The following is a 22,946-nucleotide window of genomic DNA, read 5'->3' on the forward strand; positions in this document are numbered from 1 at the left end:
TGATGCTCTGTTTTCACTGGCAAACTTAAAGAAGGATTGAAGGGAACAAACTTAATTGTGTACCAGAACACAGCTCAAGAATACAGGAATAGAAAAATATCCAGCACTCCCTCAGAAAGGCAAAATCAAAATATACCAGTCATACAAAGGAGCAAGAAAATATCCATAACAAGAAAAATCAGTGAATCAAAACCAACCCAGAAATGACACAGATAATAGAATTATTAGATAAGAACATTAAAACAGTAAATTTTTTTTTGTTTTTTTGTAGAGACAGGGTCTCACTATGTTGCCCAGGCTCATCTTGAACTCTTGGCTTCAAACAATCCTCCTGCTTCCTTGGCCTCCCAAAATGCTGGGATTACAGGTGTGATCCACGGTGCCCAGCCTAAAACAGTTATTATATTTGTGTTCTATATGTCCAAGATGTCAAGATCAAGAGCTGGGAAACTTTAAAGAGTCAGATGGTACATATTTTAGGTTTTGTTGCCCATATAACCTCCATCATACTACTCACTTCTGTTGTAGCACAAAAGCAGCAATAGACCATGTGTAAACAATTAGAGTGTCTGTACAGTGAAGTATAGCTTTATTTGTAAAATGGGTGGTGGGTAGGATTTGGCCTACAGACTGTAATTAGTAGAACCTGAGCTAGAGGAGAGGTTAAATAGAGACATAGAAGATTACACACACACTCTCTCTCTCTCTCTCTCTCTCAAATTAAATCTCTAAAGATGAAAAGTTTAATATTTAAGGTGGAAAAGTACACTTGGGATTAATTTCAGAATGGACAAAGAGGAGATTAGTAAACATGAAGACATAGCAATAGATACTATCTAAAATGAAGCACACAAAGAAAAAGTCTGAAAAAAGTGGTGAGCATTAGTGAGCCATGTTTTATTGTCAGGTGACCTCATATATATGTAGTTAGTCATCGTAGGAAGAGTATGAATAAAACAATATATGAAGAAATAATGGCAAAAATGTTCTAACTGGAAAATTAGTGAAAACTGTAAAACCACAGATCTAAGCTGGGTGCTGTGGTTCACGCCTGTAATCCCAGTACTTTGGGAAGCTGAGGCGGGCAGATCTCTTGAGCTTAGGAGTTCAAGATCAGCATGGGCAACATGGCGAAACCGTGTCTGTACCAGAAAGTTAGAAAAAAAAAGTTAGCCAGGAGTTGTGGCACGTGCCTGTAGTCCCAGCTTCTTGGGAGACTGAGATGGGAGGATCACTTGAGCCCAGGAGACGGAGGTTGCAGTGAGCTGAGATCACACCACTGCACTCCAGCCTGGGTGACAGAGTGAGACCCCATCTAAAAAAAAAATCAGTTAATCCTGAGTACAGAAACCACCCAGAAGCACTTTATAATCAAATTGATTAAAGTCAGTGATAAAGAAAAAAACAACAGAAAACCAAAGACAAATTATGCACAGAGGAACAAAGAGAGGATGACAGCAGGTTTTTCATCTGAAACCTTGCTGTGGATAAGACAGAGCAAGTGCTTTGAAGTGCTCAAGGGGGACCTATACTTGTCAACCTAGAATTCTATACCCAGTAGATATATACCGTTTTAGGCATATTAAAAATTGAAAGAATTTATTGCAAATAGGCCTTAGCTACAGTGTTAAAATTCTTCAAGCAGAAGGATGATCATACTAGATAGAAATCCGATTCTGTACAAATTACCAATATCAAGAACAAGAAAGGTGACATCACTATAGAGTCACAGATGTTTGAAGGATAATAAGTGAATATTATAATTAACTTTTTGCCAATAATATTCAACTTTTGAAGAAATGCACACAATTTCTTGAAACTAGCAAACTACCAAAGCTTACTCAAGAAGAAACAGGTAACTTGAATAGTCCTATATTTAAGGAAATTGAACTTGTAAACCTTCTGACAAAACTGCAGGCCCAGATGGCTTCACTGTTGAATTCTACTGTATATTTAAGAAAAAAATTATCTCAATTCCATACATACTCTTTCAGAAAATTGGAGAGCAGGACATACTTCTCAGTTCATTCTGTGAGCATAGCATTACCCTGTTGCGAAAAGTAGGCAAGACATTACAAGAAAATGAAATTACTGTCCAGTATCCCTTGTGAACATAGTTATAAAAAGTCTTAACAAATTTTCAAATGGAATCCAACAATATATTGAGGGGATGATACATCTTGACCTAGTGAGCTTTATCTCAGGAATGGAAAACAGTTCATGTAATTCAGTATATTAATAGAACAAAAAAGGAAAATCATATAGTTATCTCGGGATTTAGAAAAAGCTTTTGACATCCATTTTTAATAGAAATTCTCAGCAAACTTGGAATAAAAGAGAATTTCCTCATCATAGGGTGCCTGTGAAAAAACTACATTTAACAACATGCTGATTGGTGAAACACTGGATGTTTTTCCTCTAACATTAGGAACAACACAAGGATGTCTGCTTTCACAGATTTCATTTAACATTGTATTTTGAGGTACTATAAGGCCAGAAAAAGAAATGAAAGACGTCTTGATGGGAAAGAAAGAAGTGAAACTGTCTTTATTTGCAGATATCATGATCATATGTATAGAAAATTCTGCGGAATCTTGCTACTAGAACTGATAAGTGAGTTTAGCAAGGTAGTAGGATACATGATTAACATACACAACTAAATTGTATTTCTGTATACTGATGAGCAATGGGAAATTGGAATTTGAAAGCAATACAATTTACACAGTAGTATAAAAATATATATCAGGAAAAGTCTGACAAAAGGTGCAAAAACTCTACACTGAAGACTACCAAACATTACTGGGAGAACTTGAAGTCCTAATTAAATGTTCTTCAGGTAGAAGACCTAATATTGTTGAAATGGGCTGGGTGTGATGGTTCACACCTATAATCCCAGTACATTGAAAGGCCAAGGTGTGAGGATCACTTAAGGCTAGGAGTTTGAAACCAGCTTGGGCAACCAAGTGAGACCTTGTCTCTACAAATAATAAAAAAAATTAGCTGGGCATGTTGGCACGTGCCTGTGGTCCCAGCTACATTGGGAAGCTGAGGCAGGAGGATTGCCTGAGCCCAGGAGGTTAAGGCTGCTGTAATCCATGTTTGTGCCTCTGCACTCCAGCCTAGATGACAGAGCGAGACCCTGTCTCAAATAAATATATATATGGTTAAAATGTCAGTTCTTCTCAAATTGATCCTGTGGATTCAACACAATCACAGTCAAAATCTCAGCAGGCTTTTTTGTAACAGTTGACAAGCTGTTTCTAAAATTTATATAGAAATGCAAATAACCTTGAAAAAAAGAAAAAAGAACTTACACTGCCTGGTTTCAAAGCTTACTATAAAGCTATGGTAATTTAAAGTATTGTATTGGCATAAAGATAGCTAAGTAGACCATTGTGACAGAATAGTGGCCAGAAATAGTTCTTCAGATACGTGGTCAGTTACTTTCCAGTCAAGGTGCGAAGGCAATTTAGCTAGATTTTTTTTTAAATGGTAGTCTTTCTAACAGTTGATTGTAGAACAATTGGATATCCATTCCTCCTTCAACCCACCCCCCACACACAAAGTAACTACAGTCTATACATAGTACCATATTAAAAAAATAGCTCAATGTAGACCTAAATGTAAAACTTTAAAGTATACAGCTTTTAGAAGAAAACATAGGAGAAAATGTTGTTTATTAGGCTAACATTTCTTAGACACTAAAACACAATCTGTGGAAGAAATTGATAAATTTTACTTCATCAAAATAAAAAACAAAGATGAAAAGGACTCTGAAAAGTAAATAATAAGGAAACAATCCATTTTTAAAGGGTGGAAATGGTCTGAACAGATACTAATCCAAAGAATGTGTGAATATGACAAATACCCATTAAGGAAGTGCAAATTAAGACTACAGTGAGTGTGTTAGTCCCACTGGTTTGCTATAATAGTGTACCATTAACTGGGTGGCTTATAAGCCACAAATTTATGTCTCATAATTCTGGAGGCTGGGAAGTCTAAGATTAAGACACCAGTGTGTTTGATGTCTGTTGGGAGATGCTTCCTGGTTGATAGATGACTGTCTTCTTTATGTGTCCTCACATGGCAGGAGGGACAAGGGCACTGATCCTATTCTTGAAGGCTCCATCCTCATGACCTCATCACCTCCCAGATGCCCCACCTCCTATTAGGTTTCAACATAGGAATTTTGGGGGGACACATACACTTTTTAGCAGTTAGATACTATTAATACTGTATACCTGTTAAAATGTCTGAAATTTAAAGGACTCATCATGGGAACAGCTAGTACTTTTCATACACTGGCAGTGGGTATATAAAGTGGTACAATAATTTTAGAAAATAATTTAGCACTTTCTTAAAATGTTAAACCTCTACCATATGGCCTAGTTATTCCATTCCTACATATTTAATCAAGGAAAATGAAAACATCTGAATACAAAGCCCTGAACACAAATGTTCATGTTAGCTTTAGTTGTAGTAGTCACACATACATAACCCCAATATCCAGCAACAGGTGAGTGGATCAACAAATTGTAGTGTATTCTACAGTGAATTTCTATTAAGCAGTAAAAAAGGAATGAACTTGATACATGCAACAACATAGATGGATCTTAAAATAATTATATTCAATTTTCTAAATATATCAGGAAAAAAGAATACGTACTGAATGATTCCACTTACATAGAATTATAAAAAATGCAAACTGATCTGTACTGACAAAAACTAGATCAGTGGTTTCCTGGGGATAGGGGGAGGCAGGAGGAAAGATTACAAAAAGGCAGAAAGGAAACTCACAATTGTGAATACCTTTATTTTGATTTTGGTGATGGTGTATATATACATGCCAAAGCTTGTCACATTGCACACTTTAAATAAGTGTATTTTACTATATTTCAATTAAATCTCAATAAAGCTGTTAAAAACTTAGAAGCTTTTATACTTGAAAAATATTCTAAAATATTCTGAAAGGGATTAGTGTATCTTCTTGGGTAAATTAAGGTAAGTTTTGTTTATTTTTTTGTTTTGTTTTGTTTTGTTTGAGACGGAGTCTTGCTCTGTCACCCAGGCTAGAGTACAGGTGCCTGCCACCATGCCCAGCTAATTTTTAATTTTTAGAAGAGATGGGGTTTCACCGTGTTGGCCAGGCTGGTCTCGAACTCCTGACCTAAAGTGATCCGCCTGCCTTGGCTTCCCAAGGTGCTGGGATTACAGGTGTGAGCCACCACGCCTGGCTTCAGGTGAGTTTTATTTCTTTTTAAATCTCTGAAAGAGAGCAAACTACAGATTTATATTGTTTATTATTGAAGCTAAAATAAGGCAAATTTAGCAAAATTTGTATAACAGCAAATGGAAATGTAAAATCAATGACCAAATCTGTGATAACATTTTATTTTATTAAGCACAAACTTGGAAATCAGAAATTTTCCCCTTTGATAATATAATTTTAGGTACCATCTGGCCTTTTTTTGTTTTGTTTTGAGAGACAGAGTCTGGCTTTATCACCCAGGCTATAGCGCAGTGGTGTGATCTTGGCTGACTGCAACCTCCGCCTCCCAGGTTCAAGCCAGCCTCCCACCTCAGCCTCCTGAGTAGCAGGGACTACAGGTGCACACAACCATGCCTGGCTAATTTTTATATTTTTTGTAGAGACAGGATTTCCCCATATGGCCCAGGCTAGTCTTGAACTCCTAAGCTCAAGTGATCCGCCTGCCTCGGCCTCCCAAAGTGCTGGGATTACAGGCGAGAGCCACCACACCCTGCCTTGAGAATGCTTTTTAAAATGTTTTTTTTTCCTCCATTTCTCCTTTAAAGAATATTCAAGTTAGGAAAATTTTAGTATCTTTTATTTTATTTGATGAGAAATATTTTAACATTTTTTCTCTCCATTGGGGTGCAGAGAGTTTAAAATTGGGCAGATTTTATTCCTTAAAAAAAAAAATCTTTGAAACACTATTCTTACTCCCATTTTCCAAATTAAGCAATATTGAAAAAGCATCCTGTTGTGAAGGTCATCTTTTAGGTAGTGTTCTAAACATAGTTCTGCCTACACAGAGTTTAAACTTTTGATTAAGGCTCGTTAATAATATATACTATTCACTGTTACTATGGATTCATTTTTTTTTTTTTTTTTGAGAATGGAGTCTCACTCTGTTGCCCAGGCTGGAGTGCAGTGGCGCGATCTCTGCTCATTGCAAGCTCGGCTTCCCGGGTTCGCGCCATTCTCCTGCCTCAGCCTCCGGAGTAGCTGGGACTACAGGTACCTGCCACCACACCCGGCTAATTTTTTTGTATTTTTAGTAGAGACGGGGTTTCACCGTGTTAGCCAGGATGGTCTTGATCTCCTGACCACGTGATCCGCCCTCCTTGGCCTCCCAAAATGCTGGGATTACAGGCGTGAGCCACCACGCCCAGCCTGGATTCACTTTTTTTCTTTTTACAAAAATTACATTCTTTCAGGATGTATATGATAGGAATAGAGTGTTGGCTTTTAAGGACGTCCCAATCTCTTGAAATACTCCCTTTAATATGGCCCACAAGTATAACTTGACTGTCAGTTCAAAAAAAAAAAAAACCAAATAGAATAATCAGATGTTATATAATGCATAGAACAATTATTCTTGTACTGTTGAGGCTTTTAGAGCCTCAAATCATTTTGTCATTTAGAGCCTGAAAATCTTAGTTGCAATGCAGTTATGCATTGGTCTTCAGGAGTGCTTAGTGTGTCGAGTGGAGGTGCCTGTTTCTTAGATAAGAGTAGGCCTGAGCTCTGAAGTGCTTTTTTTAAAAAAGAGATATTATTCGACTTAATACTCTGTTGTACTAAGTGATTCTGCTCTGCTGTTAACCAAAAGGTAAGACTGGAATCCTGAAGACTTCTAAAGAACGTAATCTTAACCTTCTCCCCTACAACACTCCAGACTAGTAGCCATTACCTCATGCTTTTGCTTGAATCCGTTTAATGTCATGAGGTTTTCTTCATAAAAGTTTACCATTTCTTCAAGGTTTGTTGTAATTGTTGTAACTATTTTGTAGTGTTCTCTCACTAAGAATATTTTTTCTCTGTCACTTGGCCTAACACTTTTTGCAAAGCCCATCTTCTGTTAGCCTCCCTGCCATACCTCTCTGTTCTCACATGTACCTCCATTGTGGCCATGGTCAGATATGGAAATAATCAGTTTCTGAAATTCTGTTGGCTTGCTTTGAAGGTTGCCTCAGAGTAAGTAATAATACCTTAAGGTGAAGGTTAAGAAACTAAGCTCCAGGCCAGGCATGGTGGCTCAAGCCTGTAATCCCAGCATTTTGGGTGGCCAAGGCAGGAGGATTGCTTGAGTCCAGGAGTTTGAGACTAGCCTGGGCAGCATAGGGAGAATTAAAAAAAATTAAAGAATTAGCTAGATGTGGTATTGCCCGCCTGTGGTCCTAGCTACATGGAAGGCTAAGGTGGGGTGATCCCTCTAACCCAGGAAATTGAGGCTGCAGTGAGCCGGATTGTGCCACTTTACTCCAGCTTGGGTGACAAAGTGAGAATCTGCTTCAAAAAAACAAAAGAAGAAATGAGCTTTATATCTATTGTCCACGTTAACATGGGTGCTGTGGTTTGGATATTTGGACCCACTAAGTAGCATGTTGAAATTTGATCCTGAATATTTAAGGTGGGGTCTAATGGGAGGTGTGAGTCTGGCACCTCCCTTCCCTCTCTTCCTTCCTTTGTTGCCCTGTGATCTCTGCCTGCTAGCTCCCCATTAGCCATTAGTGGAAGCACCCCGAGCCATTCACCAGATGCCCAGTCTTCCAGTGTGCAGAACTGTGAGCCCAATAAACCTCTTTCTAAAATAAATTACCCAGCTTCACAAACGGACTAAGACGATTATATGTTCATATTTGTCTACTAATTTAGGGATTGCATTGTCTTTGAGAAAACCCCTGTTCTTTTTGAATCTCTTCTCTTCCCTATCCATAGCATGTAATTTTTAGAAGCATTTTACCAGTGCCTAATGAGAAACTCTTAAAACAGTGTATTTTCTTTGTCTCCTCTGGATTATGGTTAAAGTTTCTGTTTTCTGTGCCTGTTTCTCTTTATGATTCATCTCCTCACTTTGAGACAGGAGAGCATCCATTTTAAATTGTGAGCATAGGTAGACAGAGGTTTCTTTGCATGACAGGTAAAATATTCATGTTTCAACCTAGTCATGTATTTTGTTTCATCATAAGACACCTATGAGTAACAAACACCATGCAAAGTAGGTAAATGTAAAATGAATTTAAATTGATAGTCAAATTAAAGCCTAAGGTTGATCTGCTACATGAATAGTAATACATGAACTTTGCTGTTAGTCAACTAATTAGTCCATAAATGGGTAAATAATTCATATTAAAAAGGGTTGCAAATAAGATTCAACTTTATTTAGACCAGTCACATGTTTATAGGGCATCTTGAGGGAATAAGAGAATGGAGTAGAGTAGGAAGAGACTATGCGGTCTGATCCCTGGGATTCGAAGAGTTAAGTTTGCATCAACCAGGATTAGAAATAGAAGAACCAAGATGGTGACTTGCCTTTGATTGTCAGCACCTCATACTATTTTATGTTCTCAGATTCTTCTAGTCCCAAATTTTTCTCTACATAAGAGGTAAAGCCTTAAGTAGCAAAATGGCTTATTTGTACAATAACCTTTTAAAGCTAATAGAACACAGATGTGTTGATGACCCATTGCTCTCAATGTAACGGCCTATGCCTATTTGGGAGTGGGAGGCGGGGAGGGGAAAACCAAGAGCTGGTCAGAATTTGAAAGAATGTGTCTCATAGCTGTGTGACAGGATTTGAAGCAATTTACTTACTTATCTACAAAAAACTTTTTGTGGAATTTTGGGACATTTTTACTTCTGCTATAAAAAGAGAGGATTGAAGTGAGGTTTGCAGGTGTTTCCTTAGGAACAGGACCTGTACTGTTGTTTAGCTTTGGTCACTGGTAGATGTAGACACTTAGTACAGCAGCCTCAATGTTTTATTGTGTTACAAGGGCACCAGGACCTTGTTGACTATTGATAGTATCCCTAGATTGTCATTTTCAAAACTGGTCCTCAGGCAAACAGTAGTTCTCAGGAAGCTTCCTTGGAAGAAAAACAAGGAGATCTTAGTCTGGTCTAATAGCTTGGAAAATGAAACCTACAAATATCCCTCTCTTGAAGATTTTGCTTAAGGTTCTGAGTAGTTCTGCCATGAATTAGTTTCACTTTATTTTATCTGATTTCACTGAAGCATCTTGGATTGAGACACGCTTCTTTGTAAACCGTAAGTATTGTGGAGCTCACTTTGAGAAGTGTCTGAGGCAGTGTAAAAGGCGAGACTGCCAGAGTCTGACAAAAATAGGGCAGTTCTTCAAGGTTTTGTGGGGGTGCGTATAAATCAGGATGCCTTTTGGCAGCATCCCCAAGTAGATGTGAGAAGAGTTGAGCTGAGCTTTCTGAACCCTCAGTTGTTCATAAGTCAAGTTTTGAGGAAGAATTTTATAAAAAAATTCTTGATTGAATGTCAGCCGTGCAATATACTTAATTGATTTAATTAGAATTCTGTTTTGCAACTTTTCCTTAAAAACTTTTAAAAATTGTCTGCAGGGATCAACAAGCATTTTCTGTAGCGTCAAGTAGTATATATTTTAGGCTTTGAGGGCCACATACTATCTCTGTTGCATATTATTAGTCTCTGTTTTGTAACTCTTTTTTTGTTGTTGTTGTTTTTTGAGACAGAGTCTCACTCTGTTGCCCAGGCTGGAGTGCAGTGGCGCGATCTTGCCTCACTGCAACCTCCACCTCCCAGGTTCAAGCGATTCTCCTGCCTCAGCCTCCCAGGTAGCTGGGATTACAGGCGTGTGCTACCATGCCCAGCTAATTTTTTGTATTTTTAGTAGAGACAGGGTTTCACTGTGTTAGCCAGGATGGTCTCAATCTCCTGACCTTGTGATCCGCCTGCGTCGGCCTCCCAAAGTGCTGGGATTACAGGCGTGAGCCACCTTGCCCGGCATTGTAACTCTTTGAAAATGTAAAAGGCATGCTTAGCTCCTAGGGGGCACAAAAACAGGCTGCTTTGTGATTTGATGACTGTGGCCTATTGTGTTTCTCAATATGCTCTTCAGTTCTCTAAAATGTTCACGAGTGATATTGTGTGTGTGTGTGTGTGTGTGTGATTACTTTGAAAATTCTTGATACAACAAAAATAAGTTTCTTCATTAGAAGACAGAGTTCATTTTGGACTTTTATTATTTGGATTTTAAAGTGACAGTAGTCCAATTTGAGAAGCGCAGAGAGTGAGCCTGGAGGTAAAGATGACTGGACCTCCCATCTTTGTGGTGGTTTTCTCCTCTTCCCTCTCTCCCACACTCCCTCCACTTACCCCTTGGACCAATCACAGAGGTGTGTAAGAGTGTGGTGAGAAAGTGAGGAAGTCTGTTTTCAGAAGAATGGCGATTAGCACCATAAGGACACCGCAAACTCACCGCTATAATTAATGTCCTAGCGGGAGATGTGGTTTGTAGTGTTTTCCATATGTCTTGGCCCTCAGAACTCCGTTTTAAGGAGGATCTTGCCTCCAGGAATTTACTTTGAGAAACACTAAGCTATGGATTAAATGTACACTTTACTAGCATGACATTTAAGGCTTGAGCCAATCTCACCCCACCCTGTCTTTCCAATCTCATCTTTCAGAATTCTGTTTTTCTTTTTGGAAACAGAGTCTCGCTCTGTCGCCCAGGCTGGAGTGCAGTGACGTAATCTCAGCTCACTGCAACTTCTGCCTTCCACGTTCAAGTGCTTCTTTTGCCTCAGCCTCCCAAGTAGCTCAGACTACAGGCGTCTGCCACCACACCCGGGTAATTTTTGTATTTTTAGTAGAGATGGGGTTTCTCTATGTTGGCCAGGCTGGTCTTGAACTCCTGACCTTGTGATCTGCCTGCCTCAGCCTCCCAAAGTGCTGGGATTACAGGCGGGAGCCACCTCGTCCAGCCCGTCTTTCAGAATTCTGTGTGTTATATACTTCAGCTACTTAAAAGTACTCAGTTTCTAGATACTAGGTTTTTTTGCAGTGCATCTTTACCTTTTCTTCTTGGCTTTTTTTGTTTTAACAAACTTAGGAATTAAAAACTTCCCTTTATATCCAGAATTTTAAAAATCCTGTAAAGAGACAAACTTTTCTGCCGTAACCTTAGTTATTCCCGCCACCACCCCTTTTCCTTATCAGCATGACTTACGTTCATTGCACTTTCTTCCCTTCCTTTCATTTTGTAGCTTGCTTCAGTGGTGTTGCCTCACCACCAGCTCACTGAGAAGATTCTAATTAAGCCGTTCCATTTATGAACTAATTGTCAAATTTATGAAGAGTTTCTAATCTTTATTTTTCTTGACTATTCTGTAATATTTAATAACATTGATTATGTTCCCTTAACTGAAGTTCTCTTTTACCTTTACGCGGGGACCAGGTTCTTCCCTTTTTTTGCAGACTCCCATTGCCTCCATTGGCATAACTAGTAAAAGTAGATCCATTAGAAACAGCACATGAGCTTATCTTACCATTCATGGATGTTTCACTGTAGTATTCTCTTTGTGGTATTTTTCTTTCCTTTTTTTTTTTCTGTATAAAAAAAGTTTGAATTTTATAAGGCAAACCACAGTCAAAAAATTGACAGAGGTAATCACAGATTAAGCATGTTGAACCAGAATGGCATTTGCCATAATTCCATAATTTCATGTTAGTAAAATTATTTTTGATAACAAAATCTCCTTTTTTTGTTTTGTTTTTTTTGTTTGAGATGGAGTCTGTCGCTCAGGCTGGAGTGCAATGGTGCGATCTTGGCTCACTGCAACCTCCGCCTCCTGGGTTCAAGCAATTCCCTGCCTCCTGAGTAGCTGAGACTATAGGCGCGTGCCACCATGCCTGGCTAGTTTTTGTATTTTTTGTAGAGATGGGGTTTCACTATGTTGGCCAGGCTGGCCTCAAACTCCTGACCTCAATTGATTTGCCCACCTCAGCCTCCCAAAGTGCTGTGATTACAGGCGTAATCCAATTGGTTTTCATTTAGAATGAAAATTTTATGTAAGAAATCATTAAATGAAATTAGTAAACAATAGACTTCAAAATTTACCTTATGTTTTAAAGTATTCAAAAAAACAGTTCAATAATAAAACAGTAATTCTACGGTCAAGGATTCTTCAGCACCTGTAATATGTTTTTCCAATAATAAAATTTTTGGTATTTTTTAATTAAAAAAAAACCTGGATGATTGTGATATCTTACCACTGAAATTTTTTGGGTTTATCCCAGTAGTTTTCATTCCATGTGACCATCTCACTCCATCCTCTTTCTTGACATTTGGCACCATCTGGAGACATTTTTAGTTGTCATAATTCAAGGAAGGGTGCTACTGGCACCTGCAGGGTAAAAGATAGTGATGCTGCTACATAGTCCTACAATGCACAGCGCAATCTCTCCACAGCAGAAAATGATTTTGCCCAGGATGTCAGCAGTGCTGAGATAGAAATCCTATTTATTGACACAGCCTTCCTCTATTTGGATGAAAAGCATATGGGCTATTATTTGACAGGCTTTTTACTATTTATTGTGTTTCTTTAGAGTATATCGTCTTGTTTTATGGCTCCTTAAGATGCAGAAAGTCAATGATCAAGCTTTAATTGCCAGAGAACATAATTTTTAATGTTTTAATATTCTGTTTAATAAAGTGAAATTTATTTTTACTGTTGAAAGAAGCTATTTGGCAAATTACTTTTACAGGACAACTATTGTTCATGATTACCTTGAGGCTCTAGTTACTTTTTCAGGAATTTGTATTCTAAACATGAAGGAAAAGACGAGGAAAACCAGAGCTGTCACCCTGCATTCATCATAAGCACTGTGAGGTCTTTGAACTGTGAACAGTTACATCCAGTAGTAGAAGCCAGTAGAATGCCCAGTGCCTAGAATATAGTAAGCTTCCAATAAATCTTCAGTGGGAAGATGGATAGTTGTGCACTTTACCTGGTGTACTTGCAAAATTTGTGCTTTGCACATTGGGTAACATGCCTGATCATTCATTCCTAGGTCATTTTCAAGTTTGCTCTCAAAGCCTCAGTGGAAGTCCCATTTTCCCTCCCTCTGCATTTTGTGTACTGTTGAAGGTTGAAGTCTTCTTTCTAAGGAAATAATAGTAATAGCTCGAGGCTACTGACACTTGCTTTCTGTCAGTTTGTGGGACTAACTTACTTTAAAGTGTCCCCCTGCCCCCACCACCAATATGAGGCATTACTGCCTTTATCTTACAGGTGAGAAAACTCAGGCTTAGTGATTGACAGACCCTTAGTAACAGACCCGGATCTATTTCACACCAAAGCTATACCCCTAATCACTAACGGTATGATTTTGTCCTCACAAGCTAGGCTACGCAGATTTGAATCCTCACTCTTCAGTATCATCTTGGGAAAGTTACTTAACCTCTACCCAGTTTCTAAAATGTACATAATAGTGTTACCCTCAAGGTCATTGGTTATGTTAATACATGCTTAGAAGAGTACTGGAAGAGTGATTGCTTAATTTTAGCTCGTTTAATGATTATAATTAAAATCTTTGTAGAAAGCATTTGTGACTGCCTCGGATATTATCAAATACCAAGTTTGTGTCCTGTTTTACCCGAGTTGTCATGAAAGGGATAGAAATGTAAAATATGGATCTTGCCTTTAAAGACTTTGTAGTCTATTTGGGAAGACAAGAAAAATAAACATGAAACCTGACAAACACAATGCAGTTACTGCTAAATGATGTAATAGAGACTACAAATACAAATAGAATTTAGTATCCGGAAATACACTTAATGGCTTAAAACTATTCAAATATATAGTAGCTCTTCAAGTTTTGTGCTGGGAAATTTTGTGCCAGTTTTGTCAGGATATTGGCCTTCTCTTGGCTTTGCTTTTGTTTTCTTTTTCTTTCTTTCTTTTTTTTTTTTTTTTTTGAGAGGGAGTTTCACTCTTGTTGCCCAGGCTGGAGTGCAATGGTGCAATCTTGGCTGACTGCAACCTCTGCCTCCTGTGTTCAAGTGATTCTCCTGCCTCAGCCTCCCGAGTAGCTGGGATTTCAGGCATGTGCCACCATGCCTGGCTAATTCTGTATTTTTAGTAGAAAGGGGGTTTCTCCATGTTGGTCAGGCTGGTCTCAAACTCCAGACCTCAGGTGATCTGCCTGCCTCAGCCTCCCAAAGTACTGGGATTACAGCCGTGTGCCACTGCGCCCAGCCTGCTTTTGTTTTCTGATTCACCCTGAACTCTATGTTCAGTCACCTGACTTTGCAACACCTCAAATCCCTCATCATGTTACCCTCTCCAGACTGCATCTCTGGTACCCAGCAGTTTGGTCTCCCTATTCCCTCCCTTGGAATGTTAGTGGGAATCGGCACCATTAATTTTGGATTCCAACATTAGCTGGTCCTTTGATACCAATCTTCAGTTGTTTTATTTGTCCATAGTTAGCTTCCTTTTCCATACCCTGGAAGGTATTTCCAGTATTGTTTTCTTATCCATTAGACATCATATGGCCTCTCATTTTACGAATAAAATAGAGACTTTCATACTTGACTCCTGCTTATGTCCTTCCCCCAGCTGGCATCTGTTAGACTTCTTGCTGAAATTAAAGTGACCTTGACTTCTGTGGCATTTCACCTTTGATTGCTCCCTTCTTTCGAGGTTGTGTCTTTCTGCAGCACCTGAGGCTGGTTTCAGTTCTTCCTCTTATCAGTTCTCAGTTTCCTTTAATACATTTTCTTCTTGACTCTCCTGTCAATGTGTTTTTGTTCTGGGAGAGTCCATTTACTTCCGTGGTGTTGTTTGCCAATTACATACTAGTGAACCCCACCTTTTCAGCCCAGACCTCTCTCTTGAACTATGCATAGATACTTCCAACAGCCTACTGAATACTTTCAACTTGGAGGTCCCAGGGGCACTTCAGAGTTGACTTTTGTCAGCAGAACCTAGTAATAATATATACCCACTTCTCCCAAAACAAAAGATACATAGAGTTATTTTTCCTGTCCCCTACTATCTTCTGTTACCGTCTTCTTAGTGTGAGAGCCTTTTTATAAGTTTGTCTTGTCTTCTCTGCTTTTGAATCCTTTCTCTAGAAATAACTAAAAAGTAAAATTAATTACGTATTTTTAAAAAACCTTAATGAGATCTCTCATTGCCTTTCGTTTAGATTGAAAATTCAGTTTCTATAGTATTGATTTTCTATAATGGGCTTGAGAGAAAATTGACTGGTGATCTTGTCCCAATTCACAAAGGGATGGATTTTTTTTTTTTTTCGTTTTGAGTTTTTCTCTGGATCTTTAAAGATTTTACTACACGCTACCACTTTTTTTATACTTAAAGGTTTAATCATAATGAATAACCATATAACAATACTTCCCCTAAAAGTGCTTCAAATAATTTTCCAAGAATTTTTTTTAAAAACTTTTATTTTAGGTTCAGGGTTACATGTGAAGGTTTGTTACATAGGTAAACTCATGCCATGGGGGTTTGTTGATTATTTCATCACCCAGGTATTACGCCCAGTACCCAATAGTTATTTTTTCTGCTCCTCTCCCACCTCCCAAGCTCCACCCTCAAGTAGACTTCAGTGTCTGTCATTTCCTTCTTTGTCTTCATAAGTTCTCATCATTTAGTTCCCACTTGTAAGTGAGAACATGCGATATTTGTTTTTTTGTTCCTGCGTTAGTTTGCTAAGGAAGACAGCCCCCAGCTTCATTTATGTTCCCACAAAAGACATGCTCTCATTTTTTTTAATGGCTGCATAATATTCGGTGGTGTGTATGTACCACACTTTCTTTTTCCAGTCTGTCACTGATGGGCATTTATGTTGATTCCATGTCATTGCTATTGCAAATAGTGCTGCAATGAACATTCCTGTGCATGTGTCTCTGTGGTAGAATGATTTATATTCCTCTGGGTGTATACCCAGTAATGGGATTGCTAGGTGGAATGGTAGTTCTGTTTTTAGCTCTTTGAGGAATCGCCATACTACTTTCCACAACAGTTGAACTAATTTACGCTACCACCAACAGTGTATAAATGTTCCCTTTTCTCCACAACCTCTCCAGCATCTGCTATTTTAGTAATAGCCATTCTGACTAGTGTGAGATGGTGTCTCATTGTGATTTTGATTTGCATTTCTCTAATGATCAGTGATACTGAGCTTTTTTTCATATGCTTGTTGGCCACTTTTCATATGCTTGTTGGAACACTTTTGAAAAGTGTTCATATCCTTTGCCTACTTTTTAATGGGGTTGTTTGTTTTTTTTCTTGTAAATTTAAGTTCCTTATAGATGCTGGATAGTAGACCTTTATCAGATGCACAGTTTGCACGTATTTCCTCCCATTCTGTAGGTTGTCTGTTTACTCCATTGATGGTTTCTTTTGCTATGCAGAAACGTATTACCACTTTTATCATCACCTGTTATGGGGTAATATTTGAAATAGCATAAACTTTTATACTTAGTATTTAAGTATACAAATGTCCAATTTTCAAAGCCTTTCATAGTTTGACTCTATCATTGTCAACCTTATTCACTGCCGTGGCTCACCTTAGAATCTCACAAAATTTGTGTGAATTCCTGACTGCCACTGTTCACTATAAGAGCTTGGGCATGACAATCAAAATGGTGTTAGCTGTATAGCAGTACTTATCTTTTTGGATTATGAGGATTAAATAAAATAATGGAGTTAAAGTGCTTAGTTCAAGGCCTGGCACATAGTAAACACTCAAGAAACATAAGCTGCTCTTGTTTTACTGTTGTGGCTGCCTTACTCCTTAGCCTGAATGTGCAGTTATTGATGCCTTTATTCACACTATTATCAGGCCCTGTAACGCCTTATGCTTTCCTCCTCCCACTTCCTGTGTCTACTTCTCGCTCAGAATTAGGGCTTCTAAGAACTTTTCCCAGCATGTAGTCCTTTACCATCTACCCCTGTCTTTACATAGGCGTTCCCTTATTGGTGCTTTTTGTACATATCTCTACTTGGATTATTGCATTTAATTACAATTTGGACTTTGAGTTTCTTTTCAGTGGTAGGGATTAGTTCTCAGTCTATTTATATCCTGGTATTACTGCCCTGCCTTGGAGCTAACAGGTTTTTTCAGTTGGTAAATATAAATGCTGTTATTAGGTTATCTCCTTTAATCCCCTCAGCCACCCTGTGGTAGGGAGGTGTTATTATCTTCAGTTTCCAGTTAGGGAATCAGAGGCTGGTTGAGGTTAAATGATTTGCACCAGGCTACTTAGTGTGTAAGTGCTGTAAACCTAGAAGTCCTCACATTTAATAACGTATTACTATTGTATAGCTATGCTCTTATACCTGATATTTGTCTTTATAGTATCAGGAAAATAACATTTAAGTTTGGGATGTGTAAGACATCTCAAGAATTGGGATTCTGCTTATTCAGAATTGTTATAGTTTCATCTGTGTAGAGCTTGCTTTCTTTTTACTATATAATATTGCTTAGCAAAACAATTGAGTATGTAAATACATTTAAGATATTGAACTTTGTATAGACCATTTGCTCAATAAATATGTAGAGTTGTTTTTACTTGAAAGAATTAACATTGTATTTTTTTCAAAATTCAGATTTTCACCGATTTCAATTACTTTATTAAATTTTATTTATTTAATAATATCCTTGAGATAATTATGTATTCGTATGTGAACTATAGGCCTTTCTTGGTCCTTATAGGATTGTCATTTTAGGATCATGTAATAATAAATTTGGATGGCCTAAGGATTTGTTACAGCTTTTGTATTCAATGAAAAACATTGCTTCCGATAGCTGGGGTAGGGAAACTGAGGAAGGGAATTACATTATTAAACTACAAAATTACTGCATTTTATTAACTTTATAATATTTTAGAGCCACATTAGCAGTGTATATGTTGATTCTAGTTATTCTGGAAGGTGTAATTGTGGTTTGAGTTACATCATAAATTCCAAAGAATGAGAGACAGTTTCTTATTTTTAAAGAACAAGGAATAGAATTGAAAATGAGCAGTATTCATTGTATCATTGTATAATCTTCCAATTTAATTTATGGATTTACTTTGCTTTATTGTTTTTGTTTTTAAGATTTGCTTATTTAAAAAATATTTATAAGCATTCCTCTCATTACAGAGCGTAGTAATGATGAAAGATTTCATCAAGAATTTCACCTCTGTAACAGTAATATTTGTATTTGTTTTTAGGGAAGCTATGCGAAATTATTTAAAAGAGCGAGGGGATCAAACAGTACTTATTCTTCATGCAAAAGTTGCACAGAAGTCATATGGAAATGAAAAAAGGTAAGATTATTTTTCTGGTGGATAGTTAATTGTAGTTACCACATGAATTTGCCAATTATGTATTAATATACATGTCAGAGGATGGCTTCTATTACTGGGTTCATTTGCTAGTACAAAATAAAAAATAGGGGATTTGTCTCCTGAAGGGGAGAAACAAAGTGAATTGTGGTATACTGTTAGGAATAGATAATTGGTGCTGTGAAGAAAAGTCAGCATGGAGACAGAGGACCTCTCAGCAAGGCAGTCTTTACTTTCTGCAGAAAGGGTGCCCCTCGCAGATGGAACAATGGAGAGAGCACACTTGAACAAAGGAAAAGCAGACATATTTGTCCCTTACGCATTTGGGTCATCCTTACTGCTGTGTCCTGCATCCATTGGCTGGAGCTGGACCTCACAGTATTAAACTGATACCTGATTTGCTACTAACATAAAACTTTCCTAAATACGTTAAGTGCAAGGGAGAACAAAGAAGAGAGGAAGTTGCTTACAAAAGGTTTAAGAAAGCAATAACATTTCCAAATAAGGAAGGGGCATAAGCTATGAGCTAAGACTTGCCTGGGCCTGCCCAGACATGCCTGAATAAGCCAAAGCAACTAATTGGGCTAAAGTGTAAGAACTGATAGTTGATAGGAGGCTTTAGAGTAAGAAGCTATGATTTCTAGTGTCTGTTATTTTATTTTCAAACCAAGACGAGCTTTGAAGGTGGAACTTTTCTACTTTCTACATACACTCAAGCCAGAAGGGTAATTTAATAAAGGTCATCTGGTTAATAAATCCCTGATCTTACAAAATGAAATAATCCACAGTTTTTCTTTTGGGCTACATAATGTCCCCGAAATACTTATGTGATACATTAGCTTATTCACAAAGAAGCTTTCTTTTTGGTGGAAAATGTAGTTTTTTACGCAAATGTGACCCCAAAAGTACCGTTTTGCAAAGGAAAAGGCTGAATAAGCTCTTGATCCTAAAACTGTCTTGAGCTTAGGTTAATTGAGCTATGGAATGATTATAAAGAAAACTCCTGGCCCTCTCTCTTGATCCTATTCTTGTTTGGGTTGCTATTAAGAAGAAACAGCAAAACTGGGTTCATACTCTCATACTACTTGAATGTGGACTCAACAGAAATTACCTATAAAGTAGATTAACCAAAATTAAATTACAACAAGGTGATTTTTAAAAAATTATTTATTGTGGTATTCTATAAATTTCCGCATTTTTTATGTTTAATTGGGGACTTTCATTGTTGTTTCTTCACTTGGTTCCTGGAATTTTCTTTGAATAGTTTCTTGAGTCTGTCTTTCAAACAGCATTTTTTGGTTAAGCATTCCATGGAAAAAGCCTGCTTATGGAGAAAGATCAAAGGTTTTTTAATTGGCTAGAAAGGTACCCAACTGAAGAGAAAAGGAATGAAAACTAAGGTTTTGGGATTGTTGTGAAAGGAATGAGTAGAATTCTTAGAGATTGTGACATAAAGGAAACCTCAGCTTATGCTTAAGAGAAGGGAAATGTAATATGTATGTGATTAAATTAATTTACATGTTAAAAGAGAATTTTTAGGAAGTTCCTTGAAGCTGACTAGATCTGAGCTGAAAAGAGGGGTAAAGCTTTCTTTCTTTTTTTTTTTTTTTTTTTTTTTTTTTTTGAGACAGGGTCTCTGTTGCCCTGGCTGGAGTGCAGTGGTATGATTTCCACTTACTGGGCTCAGGTGGTCCTCCCACCTCAGCCACCTGAGTAGCTGGGACTACAGGCACTCACCACCATGGCCAGCTAATTTTTGTATTTTTTATAGAGACGGGGTTTCACTATGCCGTCCAGGCTGATCTCAAACTCCTGGGCTCAAGTGATCCGCCTGCCTCAGCCTCCCAAAGGATTACAGGCATGAGACACCGTGCTTGGCCAAGAAGGTAAAGCTATTTAATTGGTAGTTTTAATCCTCAAAGATGAACAAGTGAAAACAATATTTAAGATTCATACTGCCAGGTACTGTTATTCAGGCTTACTAAATTTCTGATTATTTTATCGTACTTTACTAATACAACTTAAACACTGATTTAGGGTTAAAGATGGGAAGAAGTTGGTATCTGTAGTTTGGGACATAGCGTACCAACTCAAATTAGTGGTCCTTTTTTTTTTTCCCACGAAGTTGATATTAGAAATTCAGTATTTTTTTTTTCATAAATAAAATTTAGTGTGTGTTTATAGCAAGTTTTCTGCTTTTTAAGCAAAACAGAAAAAGTTAACACCCATCATTATGGAGGAAGAATCTAAAAGGCCAGCTGTGCACCTCATAGTGAATCCGAGGTAGAAACAGTTTCATATTGGCTCCAATCATGAGCCAGACATGATTCCCAAAGTGCTTTATAAATATTTTAAAGTTGTAATCCTCGTAACAATTTTGTAAAGTAGTCATGTTATGATCCAAATTCTGTGGGCAACGAATCTGAAAATCAGAGACTTTAAATGTGTCCAGGTTGACATTAGTTAGGAATCTGTGGAGCTAGGGTTGGAACTCTTGAGGGCCTAATTTTAAATATTTACCCTTTTTACTACCCTAATTGCCATACCATTCCATTTGCGTTTGAGTGTTGGTTATCTAGAGCAGGGATTGAGGAGGAAAAGATCCTTTAAATACTTAAACTTTGTAAACTTAACTTTGCCTAGGACTAACCCTTTTCCATTACCTAGGTGAGATTGGGCTAGCCCAATTGAATTATGAATAGATGTGTGTTTATCATATAGCTTCAAATTTAGGCAAGCTGCTTTTCTTTTCTCTGGATTTTTGAAGATGCATTTTAGTACAATTGAATTCACTTATTCTTTATTTCTGATTGGCTATTGTGTGCTAGGTTTTATGCAAAAGGACCTTTACTAGGAGTTTTAAAAGTCACTGTGTCATTTAATACCGGGATGTATAACTGAGGCCCGTTGGAGATAACAAAAGGGGAAGACCTATTTAGAAAATTGTGTTAAAGTCCAGATAAGGTTCCTGTTTGTTAGTTACTGTTAAAAAATACGGCCCGGCATGGTGGCTCATGCCTGTAATCCCAGCACTTTGAGAGGTCAAGGTGGGCGGATCACCTGAGGTCCGAGGTGCCACTGCACTCCAGCCTGGGCGGCAGAGTGAGACTCCGTCTAAAAAAGAAAAAGATCCAACATATATAGAGAGCTGTAGTGGTTTGTCAAGTTAAAATGGAAAATTTAACCATATCTTTTATTGTAGTAGCTTTTATTTTTCTTTTTTCTTTTTGAGACAGAGTCTCGCCTTGTTGCCCAGGCTGGAGTGCAGTGGTGCAATCTTGGCTTACTGCAACCTCTGCCTCCTGGGTTCAAATGATTCTCCTGCCTCAGCCTCCCAAGTAGCTGGGATTACAGGCACCCACCACCACGCACAGCTAATTTTTGTATTTTTAGTAGAGACGGGGTTTCACCATGTTGGCCAGGCTGGTCTCGAACTCTTGACCTTGTGATCTGCCCGCCTCTGCCTCCCAAAGTGCTGGGATTACGGGCGTGAGCCACCGCACCCAGCCTATTTTCAATTTCTGTGTATTATTTGGGCATGGCCTAGCTGGTCTAAAACCCCAGTCAAAAGAAAGCTTTAACAATCTAAGCTTTGAAGTCCTCTAAAAAATGAACAAAAATGATGAAAAGGCCAGAGTAACTACTTTCCTATATTTTTACTGATTTGTATTGTTAAAAATTTCAAAGTAGACCTGCATTACTTTATGATAAAGGGGAAACCCATTAAATTTACTTGATTTTTTTAAAAAACAGGTGTTAGTAGTAAAGGACTGCTAATGCTAATCTAGCCCTCTGGATGTCTGTCAAACTGCCCTGGATTCAGAGAAGTGTTCTGGGCTCTTACTTGGTGGTGGAGTGCACAGTGGGAAGAGGATCTGTCTTCTTTCTTGCCGATCCTGGTTCAGGCCTTTTTGAAGAGTTGCAAAGGCGTAAGGCGTGAGGTTACCTGGGGGCATGATCACAGTCCTCTTGGCTGTGTCTTTTTGGCATACAAAATAACTCCAGTGAGTGATGCTTAAAAATACTTGGTTAGGAAATTTTATCTCCAAATTTAAAATTGTTCTTGATGTTAAATATGGTGCCTAATAACTAGTATTTATTTGCATGGCACATCTAGTACCCCATTTATATTAGTGATTAATTTCTCATTAAGTAAGATCTTAGGTTAAAGAATAAACTTTTTAAAAGATTATTTTATCTAGAGCTTTCTTGAAGGAAGTAATTAAGCAGTAGCAGTAATGATGCTGTTAAAACAATGAACAGTAAAGTCATTTAGACTGATTCTGAAGTCATATTGAGATTTGTGTTAATTGGCCAATTGTGGCATGCAAAAAGTTCCTAAATATGGTCCTTGTGAACTGAATAATCATCAAAGGTTAGTGATGATTCTGCAAAGGTAGCAAGATAATGCAAATATCATGAGTTTGGATTCTGTTTAACCTAATTTATTTTATATATTGGAATGGATAAAAAGCCTTCTTTGAATCTGTAAGGCAGTTTTCAGACATCATCTCAAGATTTGAGGAAATCAGTGGTTGAAACAGTCTCTGAAAATAAAGACAACTGTG

The 22,946-nt window shown here is 37.8% G+C and overlaps 1 protein-coding gene across 18 annotated transcripts in view, besides 1 other annotated feature; it reads left to right on the plus strand.

Moving 5' to 3' along the window:
• RBPJ (recombination signal binding protein for immunoglobulin kappa J region) overlaps positions 1-22,946 on the plus strand; it is a 329,683-nt gene that overhangs the window by 282,462 nt on the left and 24,275 nt on the right. For all 18 annotated transcript variants that reach the window (XM_047415656.1, NM_001374401.1, NM_001379407.1 and 15 more), the window contains one exon: positions 18,265-18,360. In XM_047415656.1, the coding sequence (XP_047271612.1) occupies positions 18,265-18,360 (96 nt within the window). The remainder of the gene's footprint in view (positions 1-18,264; positions 18,361-22,946) is intronic.
• Positions 17,809-19,008: an enhancer, noted in NCBI's record as "MED14-independent group 3 enhancer chr4:26407341-26408540 (GRCh37/hg19 assembly coordinates)". NCBI's record gives its function as "activates an origin of replication core promoter dependent on BRD2, BRD4, P300/CBP and CDK7 cofactors, and independent of MED14, by STARR-seq in HCT116 cells {active_cell/tissue: HCT116}" and the evidence as "EXISTENCE:reporter gene assay evidence [ECO:0000049][PMID:35650434]".

Source organism: Homo sapiens, chromosome 4 (genome assembly GCF_000001405.40).
Source record: "Homo sapiens chromosome 4, GRCh38.p14 Primary Assembly".
NCBI lineage: Eukaryota > Metazoa > Chordata > Mammalia > Primates > Hominidae > Homo > Homo sapiens.